This window comes from Homo sapiens, chromosome 8 (genome assembly GCF_000001405.40).
Source record: "Homo sapiens chromosome 8, GRCh38.p14 Primary Assembly".
Classification (NCBI taxonomy): domain Eukaryota; kingdom Metazoa; phylum Chordata; class Mammalia; order Primates; family Hominidae; genus Homo; species Homo sapiens.
Genome location: NC_000008.11, coordinates 105,420,228 through 105,432,951, shown reverse-complemented (window position 1 = coordinate 105,432,951; position 12,724 = coordinate 105,420,228). Strand labels below are relative to the sequence as shown.

At 37.4% G+C, this 12,724-nt stretch overlaps 1 protein-coding gene across 8 annotated transcripts in view; it reads right to left on the bottom strand.

Moving 5' to 3' along the window:
- The window catches only part of ZFPM2 (zinc finger protein, FOG family member 2), a 486,102-nt gene that overhangs the window by 371,588 nt on the left and 101,790 nt on the right, over nt 1-12,724 (bottom strand). The window lies entirely within an intron of this gene.

The window sequence follows — 12,724 nt, the reverse complement described above, 5'->3', positions numbered from 1 at the left end:
TATTTTTATGTTTTGTGGATATGAGTGTCTCACTGTATTGCCCAGGCTAGTCTCAAACTCCTGGCCTCAAGTGATCCTCCTGCTGCAGCCTCCCAAAGTGCTGGGATTACAGGTATGAGCCACTGCACCCAGTCCGACATTCTATTTTAAACTATGTTTCTAAAATTTATATTTCAAAGCTTATATTTAAATAATTTTTATTATCCCTTCCCCTACCTTCCCTTCAAAAAGTCTCACTGTATCTAATATCATTCCCATCAGAGGAAGATTCTAAATAGCTAAGACATTTCTTGTTCCAAAGAAGAGACACAGTAACACCTTATGGTCTCTAAATGAGGATATTCTGTACTATAACCCCATCACAATTCTATTGTTCTGCTAGCAAGAAACCACTTTCCCTTCTGTTTGTCGGCCTCCGTGTTTATTTAAGAATATTATTTGTAAGCAATCACTCATTATCAAAGTATTCCATTGTATTGTTAAATAGGACCTTATTTAAGCTACACATTCAAAATGCTAAGGCTGGAGAAGTAGCCAATAGAGAACGCATAGGCCTAACAAAGGCATCGTTCCATATCTGAATGCCCTTTATATAACACTAGTTCAAACACTCTAATGATGAATGACTCTCAGAGCTCACAAATAAGGGCTAACATTTCTTTCTCCTGACAAATCCTGTTTTTTTCCTCCTGCTTGATCACTGGAATTATCTTCCTCTTCCATTTTCTCTCTCTACTATGGCTTATGGAAAGCTCAGATTTGCAATTTCATATTTCAGCTTTCAGAACATTTATCTTCCTCTTTATGCTTCGTCTCTACTATTTCCTGTCCTTAGCCTTATGATCATTGTCCTTCCTGGTCTCTCTGGCCCAACTCACACCCGTCTCTATTGCTCTCCTTGCATGCTCACCAGGCTGGTGTCGCTCAAATGCTGTTCCCTCTACCTGAAACTCTATGACCTTTTTTTGCCTAGTTAATGCCTCGCCAACTTCTACTCCAGCTTAAGTGTCACATTCTTTTTCTTTTTTTTGAGACACAGTCTTGCTCTGTCACCCAGTCTGAACAGTGGTATGGTACTATCACGGCTCACTGTGGCCTCAAACTCCCAGGCCCAAGCAACTCTTCTACCTTAGCCTCCCAAGTAGCTGGGGCCACAGGTATGCACCACCATGCCCTGCTAGGTTTTCTGTTTGTTATTTTTTATAGAGATGAGGTCTCCCTATGTTGCCAACCTGGTGTCAAACTCCTGGACTCAAGCAATCCTCCCACCTTGGCCTCCCAAAGTGCCGGGATTACAGGTGTGAGCCACCATGCCTGGCCAAGTGTCGCATTCTTACAGACATTTTCTCTGACCTTCCTCACTAGATCAAACCACCCTGAACCATTTGAGTGATTATTTTATTAATGTCTGCCTCCCCACTATAAGGTAAATTCTACGATATCCAGGACCTTCCCTGTGTTTACTTACCATTGTATCCACAGCATGTCTCACATGTCTGACATAGCAGGTGTTCAATAAATATTTACTGGATTAGCTAACGCATGAATGTTGAATGCACTGACTGCCATTATGCTTTCATTCATTAATTATTCTAATAACCAAGCAAAGCAAATAAAAGCTATGCATTTTATATAATCTGTAAACCCTCCATAGTAACGTAATTTAGAGTTGGGCATATGGCCACTTGACAACAAACCAGAGGCTTCTCTTTTAGCATGGACCACATCATAAAAATAAGTTGTGGGCCAGGTGTGGTGGCTCATGCCTGTAACCCCAGCACTTTGGGAAGTCAAGGTGGGCGGGTCACCTGAGGTCAGGAGTTTGAGACCAGACTGACAAACATGCTGAAACCCAGTCTCTACTAAAAATACAAAAAAAAATTATCCAGGCATGGTGGGGGGCGCCTGTAGTCCCAGCTACTCAGGAGGCTGAGGCAGGAGAATCGCTTGAACTCGTGAGACAGAGGTTGCACTGAGCCGAGATCGCTCCATCGCACTCCAGCCTGAGCGACATTGTGAGACTCCATCTCGAAAAAAAAAAAAAAAAAAAGTTGTGGACAATGGGATACAAGCCAAAGAGTCCTGTGGCCACTTCTGGGAACCTACTGTAACAGCTGCACCTAATCCTAACAGAGTTTCCACATCTCTGGGTAAAAAAGAGTATTCTAGGTCCCATCAGCCTCCTTCTAACTCAGATGCACATCTAGCTTCCAACACCAGAGACAGTCCCAAATAAGTTATCACAAGACGCATTCAGACTATTTTTACTACAAGGTCTTCCAACAGCGTCTCCTCCCTTAGTGCCAGCAACAGGTTCTTGGCTGCTGGTGATAACACCAGAAAAACACAGATAATACCCACAGCATTTTCCAGAGTTTCAGAAATGTAGAAATTATTTCCCTCTCTCTTCATTTTTTAGCATAGCACTTTCAAAATCAGGCTTTTCATGAATATCTGTGGTCTCTTTAGGCAAAGGGTAACTTATCCTATAATGATAATAGATTTGGAATTCAGGTATCTAATATAAACACAAACTCTTTTTGTGAATCTGTTTGGTTTTCCAACAAATTAGGAAGTTGAAAACAAACTTAACATTCTTGATCTTGGTTGTCTTCTTTGAAGACCACTAACACTTACAGGTACTAAAAGGGGTTGATTCAGGCTTGGTGGGGACCAAAGCTTATACAATTCAGGGGGCCTCCTTAAGAAAAAGAATTCAAAGTCCCACCTACAAAATTAGGTGCAGGGCCTTGGGAGGAGTCTGTCCAAGTGAGAAGTTTTGAAGTTTAAGCTTCATTAACCTCATAGTAACCACAGTAAAGGTCAGAACTATCTTTCTCAGATAAACCGTACTGCCCCAGTGCTCAGGTGTTCAGAAACCCCTGTCAAACGAGCCTCAGAATTCTGAAGCGACACCCAGTATTTATTTGAATTATCCAAGTTTCAGAATTGTCCCACACTGTTTTGAACTGTCCTAGGTCTATCATTGGCTAGAAAAATAATTAAACAATTGTGAAATAAACTAAAAAGGTGAATGAATACATCTAATACATTTGACAATTAACAGTGTGAAAATAAGATGCATACTACATAATTTTTCAATATGCATTCCTTTTATTAATAATTTGATATTTTTAGGGGCACCTTAAAAGTCACCCAGCACAACTGCCAATATTGTAAATAAAACACATCTGAGTTGGGTTTTCCTTAGCATATAAGCTACTTTCCCTGTCCATTTTTTTTTTTTTTTGGTATCACTTTGCATTTTTGTAGAATTGTTGTTTCTCGTTAAAAGTTATTGTATTTTGGTATTCCCTTTAGGAGTCAGCCACCAATACAGAATATAGGAGTACAGAATGCACAGATTAAATGAGGCAGATGCGTGCTGGTGAGTGGTTTCCACATTAGAATGATGCACATTACCATAAGGAAGCTTGGGAGTGAATGCATTGTTTCCTTAATCAGCCCAAGTTTGACACTATTTCCATATATATATATATATATATTTCCTTGTCTAACTTGTGCACGTTTTCTTTCCCTTCTTAGGTCACTCCTTCTTAGGTCACTGTATCTTTAAGAAATGAGAAAATTCTTTATGTAGTCCTCTTTCTGCCTCTATACATGCATGATCACATACGGCCACATATACATATCCATGCTGACCAGAAACAGGTAACATAGGTTCTCAGTATTGGCTAACTTGCCTGGGCCATAATTTGCATTGAAAAAAATTACAGTTTACGTAAGACCTAAAATACAGTGTCTTGAGCTAATCATATAGCAACAATAGAAATTACATCAAATCGCGTTGTTAAATATATAGTAAGCAAAGTGTTTGATATATCTGTATGATAGATTTCCAGCTTGATAAATTTATATCATTAAAAATAATCCTTAAAGAGACCTTCCTTTCTGTCAGAAAAATATAATCACAGCCTACTGTCTGTGCAATTCCACTTTCCGTCTCTGCTATGTGCTAAGACTTGGTAAGATACAGCCACTGTCAGGTTTCAGAACCGTTCCTTGTCTAATCTTTCTACTTCTCCAGATCTTTGATACAGAACCTGTTAGAATGCACTGCTTACTTTTCTAGTTCCTATGTTTATCTCACTTCCACTCTTACCATCTGTTGTACTGCATTTCCTTCAGAAAAGTGAAAAGTTTTCACAGTGCCCAGAGCTTTCCCTGCAAACAATGCCCTTTTCCCCTCTTCCTTCCTTCCTTTCTTCGTTTTTTATTTAGTCTTATTTTGTGTTGAGGTCAAACTATTTTAAAGAGTTCACTTTGCAAACATTTCTACAAGGCTGAAGCTCTTATCCAAATAGTTTTGATGGATTTGTAAACATTCCTGCCATTTATTACTGGCTTCTGCCCAAATACACACATTTTGGTGTGTCCTCACTCTTTCAAATTACCTGAAAGCAACATCATAAGAAACAGGCAGTGAGAAACTGTAGCTTATTGAATGTCTTTAAAACAAGGTAATATAATTTCAGTTAGTATAATGAGACTAACATGCTTTCAATATAGCCCCTTACATTATATCAAAACCTCAACTCCTCTTATTACAAAATGGTTTATACTGACAGTCTTTAAAGAAGTACCAAAAGATAGAAATATTTTAAGAACATCCCTAATTCATTTATGTTAGCCTTTTTGTTTATTTGGTTTTGTAAGCACCCTTATTTTTGACTGACACATCGTGTACAGTAAGTGTTTATTAGAAAATGCCCAGTTAAAAAATACCTTGAAAAAGTGAGCTTCATACTTCATATATCTAACCTTCTTCAGATGTTTTCCTCTCCCTCCTTCTACAAGAGTTATATAATAGTGGACATCAGGAAGCAAAATTAGTTCTCTATTTTTATTAAGCACCAACAATGCAAGTTTTAATTTTGTGTTAGTCTTTAGTAGTTTTGTTGACTTTGGCCAAGTTGCTGAGCCTCTGGAAGTTACAGGCAAAAACAGCATCTACCGTGTAGGACAGTAAGCTGATTAGAGATGATACATACACAGGAAGATGTCTGACTTTTGGGAGCAGTCAGCAAATGGACGTTGTTATTACCATTATTAAAATTATTGTAACTGGCACATAGCCCTAATGCCAATCTCTGGAATCTCACTGAATGACAAAAAAGAAGCTGAAACAGCAATCTGCATCCTTTATCAGTATTTACTTTATTGGTGCAACATATTCAGTTATTTTTACTTGACCTTTTAAGGACAACAAAAAGTGGCTGAGTTTATTACTATACTTAAATTCATCGCACCACAGCTTTCTACATTTCCCATTACACGGTCTATGTTTAGGCCTACCAGAGATAAAGATATCCCATCAGGTAATGGGTGGGCAAACACTTTAATATTGCCTGTTGCTTCTCAAATGATAATGAAAACATTGTGAAAAATTTTACATATTAATAAGAAAATCTACATTTATGTGAGAAGATTAAGAGCTTTTTATCAAGCTTAACATGCCTCAAAAATATCTTTAGCAGACTGCACAGTTGAGATCTGTTGGCCAGCTCACAGAAAGAACAATGAATTTAGTTTGTCATATGCTAAACAGTAGTACATATTATCATATGTTACTCATATAAATGACCATGGGTCATTTCAAACATTGTATAAAATTAATCACTTTAATTTGGTTGCAACTGTTATGATGATATATCTGAAATGAGAGATGAGGTAAGTAGACAAAGCTTTATCTGACCCTTACATAGAATACTGAGTCATGAAGCAAATTTGTATACCTTCCGATTCCATCAAAACCAAGAATATGTTTACTCTCATAAGAAGAGAGTTCCTTCGCATGCTCTCCCATTTTCCCAACAATTGTGGTTTTTTAAAAAAATCAATCTCATTCCAAACAAAAACTATGTTTTGGGACTTTTAAGATGGCTATAAAAGAGTGATGCCACAAGGTCATAAGGTATATATTTTTTCAACCTCATGAGATAAAAGCACTTATAGGACACTATTTTTTTGTTTTCAGGTGGAGTCTCACTCTGTCACCCAGGCTGGAGTGCAGTGGCATGATCTGGGCTCATGGCAACCTCCTCTTCCCGTGTTCAAACAATTCTCCTGCCTCAGCCTCCAGAGTAGCTGGGACTACAGGCGTGTACCACTGCCTGTATTTTTTGTATTTTTTGTATTTTTTGTATTTTTAGAGATGGGATTTCACCATGTTGACCAGGCTGGTCTCAAACTCCTGACCTCTTGATCTGCTAGCCTCAGCCTCCCAAAGTGCTAGGATTACAGGTGTGAGCCACCGCCCCGGCCTATAGGACACTAGCCTGTAATTTTACATTCTAAAAAGTATTACTTCTCATTTTGCATGGCTATATGATTTACCTAAGAAAAACTAATAATTTTAAAATAAATTTCAAGAAAAAGAAGAAGTACTGAATCCAGGAAAACAGAGGCTCTGCCAAGGAACAATAATGTCATGTGGAGGGAGGGGGAGGTGGCGGAGAAGGGAAGGGAGGTTCCTGCCAAGCAAAGCTGGGGGCTGTTCAATCAGCCCTATCAGTGCTCCATCAGTGTCTCCACTCCAGCCAAATCCAGAGAAAACAAGGAGTCAAAGATTCAGGTCAGTAAGCTTACAGGCGATTTGCACAAACAGTTCCTCCAGCAAGGTAAAAAACAAAGTCATATTGGCTTTTCTTTTTTATTCCTTCTCTTTGAACTCCCTGGTCCAAACACACCCTGGAAATGTCAATGTTATATGCAAGAATTTAAAGAGCTGAGCTTCTTAATCCCGTTAAGAAAAAAGGAAAAAAGTTGCCTGTAAAGGTCCCCTTCCTTATTGAACTCAAAGTGATTATGGTAGAGCTGTCTTATGCAGTTTCTGATTCCAGTTACTCAAGCATCAGAGGAGGCAAAAACATGTCATTAAAGGCATAACCAAGGAGGAAAGAAAGCATGTTCATTGAAAGGATTTATAAAATATAGCAAAATAGACTTTCTGAACTAAAAGTAATAATAAACTGAACATAAGAAAACAGGAAACAAAATACTATGATGTTTGACATGGGATCAAATGAAAAACAACGGTTACTACTCCCACAGCCAAAACTGCATAAAGATACAGTTAAAAAAAGCATTCTTTTCGTTATTAAGACTCTAGACAAAACTTCTGTTGCTTTACCTTAACATTCAGGGACCAGGGGCAGGGAGGGATTAATGCCAATAACCTTAACTTAGATTTGTTACAGGTAACAAGGAGGAATATGGCTTTTCCTCTGTTATTTCTTAATCTTTAAACAAAGCCACAAAACTACAGGAACCAACAGAAAGAAAGGAGGATGGGAGGAGGGGGGAAACATTTCAATGAGCCTGGATGCCTATCGGCAGAAGAAGTTGAGTACGATGATGAAACTGGTTCTACTTCTCTGCCTCTTGATCTTTCTAATTCAAGAATGTGGAAAGACATAGAAAACACAAACCCAACTCTGCTATTATGGAAGGGAACAAAGTGACTCATATCATCCTCAGACACCCCCAAACTGCTGTTCTGGAAACCACATTAATGAGCTACAGATGGAGTCTCATCAAGCCCTTGGCTTCAGGGATAATTCTGATTGGAGTTATCTGTATCCCCTGACAGCTTCCCCATTTTACCTGTTTCAGTTTCCTGCTTAACCTTTCCTTTCTGCAGGCCTTTCTTCTCCAGGCGTATACAAACTATGTCGTGGCCATGTCTTACCGCAACTCTCTTCTGTGGCTCACACACTATAGTTTCTTTCCACAATTCTGTTCCTGAAGGCTTCCATAGTAGTGGGAATCCAACAGATTCCAAGAGCAGCAGGTTCTACAGGTATGACAGTGCCTCTTCTGCTCCCCAGCTCTCTGCTGTCCTCTTCTGGCTTCCTATAACACTAACCTCATAGGTACTGCAGACTTGACTCAGTACTGGAAGCTCATTCCTTTCTCTCAAGTCTCCAGTCAAAGTTCACCTTCCCCATCGCTCTTTATGAAATAGCATGTGTGTGCACACTATTACACTCTACCAACTTTGCCTGCTTTATTTTTCCTCATGATCCTCTATCTCACCGAACTTTATAAAATGTGATTCAATTGTTTATTGCCTCTCTCTCTCTCCTCCTGAGAGTGGGGACTGACTTTTGCCTAAGGCTGTATCCCAGTTCTGAGAAGAAGGTCTGGCAAAAAGCAGATGCTTAATATATGGGTTGAGTTGTATTGAATTTGACCTAGTGAACAGGAGTGAAAGTTTCTGCCAGTCCTATTAAGTATCTGATTATGTTTGCTTTCAATTGGTATTAATTACTTATGGGGCTAACATTAAATCCAAGTCTGAATAACCCAGGTTTTTATTCTATTTTCTTTAATATGCTTTACATTTTTTATGTTAAAGAATCTTTAAAATAACCTTTGCTTTCTGCACACTATGTGGACTCTTTTTGAATGTAGTGAGAATTTCCATTGTTACACCATATATCTTTCCTTATTTTGTGTATTTCCATCATGACCCCTCTTTTTAAACCTAGTATTTCCAGACTGAAGAGGTCTAATTTTAGTTCATTTCTCTAGGGCATTATTATACCCAAGAATGTCTCTGACCATTCTTCATATCTAGATGCAAGGAAGAGGCATAAAGATTTTTCGTCTTCCCAAAGCAACTTTGATAGCATCATTTTCCCTTCTGGCCTTTATTTTAAAATCATAACATCAGCAAACAATTTGTAAGGACGCTTTTTAACTTTTCTAGATAATCATTGTAGATAATTCAAAGTTGACTTACATGTAGTTTCTTTGGGGTTATCTTTGTTTTTTGTAATTCAATACGTTTTGGGGGAACAGGTGGTGTTTGGTTTCATGAATAAATTCTTCAGTGGTGATGTCTGAGATTTTGGTGCACCCATCACTTGAGCAGCGTACACTGTTCCCAGTGTGTAGTCTTTTATCCCTCACCCCCCTCACCTGAGTTATCTTTTTTTATATAGCATTACATTCTACTAGCAACCAGTGACATTGATCTGATTCTTCCTGTTCACATATTTTGTGACATTCTCCTGGAATTTATCCCAAAACATGTTTATTTCACTTTACAATTATTAATTAGAACTGCTCCACGCCAATCCCACTCTGAAACTCACTGTCTTTGAGTTCATCCAAGAATTGCTCATATATAGGCATTCCCACCTGCCAGTAGTGACATAACTACAAACTCCCAAGGTTGCTTTCCAGACCACCTATATTTCTGTTCATATTGGTTTGCTTAGTTCTACAAATATACTGATGTACTTCCATGTCTGGCACATAAACCAGAAGAAAGGCAGACAAAATAACTGAAACGAAAATTTCAGTACCACAGGAAATATGTAGCACTTATGGACTGAGTCTTGATGTCTTCATCATCTATAAATTCAAGGAAATAATTTTGCTTGTTTTCTTCCTCCCAGAGATACTGTAAGGCAAGATGCCACGTACTCTAAACTCATAAACAAAAGATGACAATGTAAATTGAAAGTATTGCTTTATATTTTGTTAAAATGTTTAAAATCTAAAGGTATCAAAGTAAATTTCAAATAGCATCTTTTTATCAACATAGTTCATTTCATTTCAAAGAAATGAAAAATAGGAACATGAAATGTGCAATTAATCCAAAATAAAAAGAGACATAGGAAATGCCAATAGAATTGCCAGGTTCAAATTTTAAGCATGCAACTATAACAAGGGTATCTCTGAGATGGACTTATATAATTAAGAATTTTATACATTAATGCTAACATAAAATTCTGACCAACAATCTCGGACATTTCTGTGGAATCTTACATTATAAGAGTGATTTGGGTCTTATTTAATCACATGGTTTATAATAACTAGAAACTTTACTAATATTAGTAAATGCAACTTTGAGACTAGAAAAACTTGCCCTTCAGCAAGAACATAGATAATATCAGTGTGGAACTGAGAAAAATGTTACAATAATAAGAGCCATTGAAGAACTATAATTTTAGTTCATCACTGAAAATATCCTGTATAATAGAAATGCTCAATTTCAAAAGGAAGCAGAAACTTTATAATAAGCTATGTCTTCAGAAATGTAGTTTTTCTTTTAAAAAGTTATGATAACATATGATTGGTTTTATATAAAATGCAGTTGCTAAAATATGACTAAATATATGTAGTAACTCTATGTTTATCCTCAGTATGCTCCCCTGATAATGTGTCAAAATTTCTTGTTTGGAGAACTTAGACCTTCTAGCCACATTTTTTGATCTGAACTTTTAAGATATCCTTTGTTTAACAAGAAAAAAACATTCAATTTACAAAATTTTTATGCTTGGGACCCATATAATTAACTAGGTAACAGGTAAATTTTGGTCATGGGTAGCCTTTAGACCAAGAAACTTCCAAATAATCCAATGTATTTTCCAGTAAATATCAACAATTTTTAAATTGTCATAAATGATTTAAACTATGTGCAAAAAAAAGTTTCATTAATGAACCCAAGATATTATTATTATTATTATTTTCTTTTTGAGACGGAGTCTTGCTCTGTTGCCCAGGCGGGCATGCAGTGGCTCAATCTCGGCTGTCTGTAACCTCCACCACCTCCCGGGTTCAAGCAATTCTGTCTGCCTCAGCCTCCCGAGTAGCTGGGACTACAGGCACCCACCACCACACCCAGTTAATTTTTGTATTTTAGTAGAGATGGGGTTTCGCCACATTGGCCAGGATGGTCACAAACTCCTGACCTCAGGTGATCCGCCTGCCTCAGCCTCCCAAAGTGCTTGGATTACAGGCGTCAGCCATCGCGCCCGGCCTAAAAATACTTTTCTTCAGAGGAACATGTCTTATTTGCTTTTCCAGTAATGACACTGGCATTGTTAACCATTTAAATACTTCTACCTTTTTTTTTTTTTTTTTTTTTTGAGATGGAGTCTCGCTCCCGTCGCACAGGCTAGAGTGCGGTGGTGCGATCTCAACTCACTGCAACTTCTGCCTTCTGGGTTCAAGCAATTCTCCTGTCTCAGCCTCCTGAGTAACTGGGATTATAGGCACCCACCACCACACCCGGCTAATTTTTGTATTTTTAGCAGAGACAGGGTTTCGCCGTGTTGGCCAGGCTGGTCTCCTGACCTCAGGTGATCCACCCGCCTCAGCCTCCCAAAGTGCTAGGATTACAGGCGTGAGTCACCGGCCTGGCAACTTCTACTCTTTTAATTGCTAATCTGTCCTCTTCCTCACAATTGGCAATAAAACATAATTATGCGTCACTGAGAAAAATTGAGAATTTCAACAGAAAGATTAGTTTCTAATTTTCCAGAGAGAAAATATTCTCTTTCCATTGTAGCTCATCAACTTAAGTGAAGAATGGATAGCACTCCTTGCATGACCTCAAGGGATGAAAAATCTATCAAAGAGTTGTCTTTCTTTTCTACCAGTTCCAACTGACTTCAGTGGGAATTCCCTGGTCACACATTCTGCAAGAGTAAAATAATGAAATTCTTTTCCTATCAATAGTAATATTACTATTTATCCTGAAAAATATCATGTGAAAACAGGAATTGTTATTCCCACCCATTATGACCTTCTACTTTCAAATTAAACATTACAGAATTATCTTATAATACATATATGTTACATATTATTTAATATGGTCTCTATATCATATACTAAATATTATTTTGTGTACATCTGACATTAAACATTTTTCCAACTGTTTATAAAAAAATTAATAATAATATCTACTGAATCTTGTTCAGAACAATTGTAATTTAATGTTTTTTCTTAATTCCTAAAAGTCTGTCATTATTTTTCATGAGTTAAGACTCTGATTAGTATAGCTGGAGTGACTGTCCTAAGACCATAGTTACATCCTCATGTAAGCATTTGCCATAAATCTATTTTCTCCCAGGAAATTACTACCTTAAAACTTTCTTTGAAAGTTTAATGAAAAGTTTAATGAAAGAGTAAGAGTAAAGAACCCTTACTCTTTCATTAAACATAGCCCTTAACCAGAGATCGTCCCAAAATTTGCAATTCATACAGTAGTACCTATCATACTGCCTTCCTGGATGAATTAAATTGACAAAAGGTATAAATCCATACGTTAACTCTTTTATTCACCTTCTAACTCTCAATTCCTCTCTTTATTGCAACATCACAACATAAGGTAGGTCTTCTACAATGCACAAAAGGATGTATTTCCTAATAAGAAAAAAAATTGAGATGTCTTCAAACATAAATTTAAAAATTATCCATCTCCAGACAGCTTAGATTTATTGCCATGGCTACATATCATCAATTTAATGGTTCTAGCAACTAAGGAAAATATTAATTTGGCTTGAAATCTGAGTCAACACTAGGAAAAAAGGCTATTCTGTTCATACTTTTCTCATTTTCAATTAAAAATCTCTGATGTAGGAGACAAGGACCATGCTACAAGTTATCTTGAGGTCTACATGGTTAAGGAGGTTTTTTGAATTTCAGTGTGTCCAGGTGCCATTCTGTTTCCAAAGTTTTAGAGCCAGGGGTTCTACTGACCACAGGGATGGGAGCTGACTGACATCTTTTGTTTCTGACTTTTTTTGTTGACACCATCAACAAGAGAAAATGATACTGGAACTTTTAATGATTAAATATATACATGGCCACCAAGATATGTGAATTGACATTTTTTTGAGAAGCTACATTGGCACTCTTGATTTGAGACTATGAAGTCTGATTAACAAATTCAAACATACACACA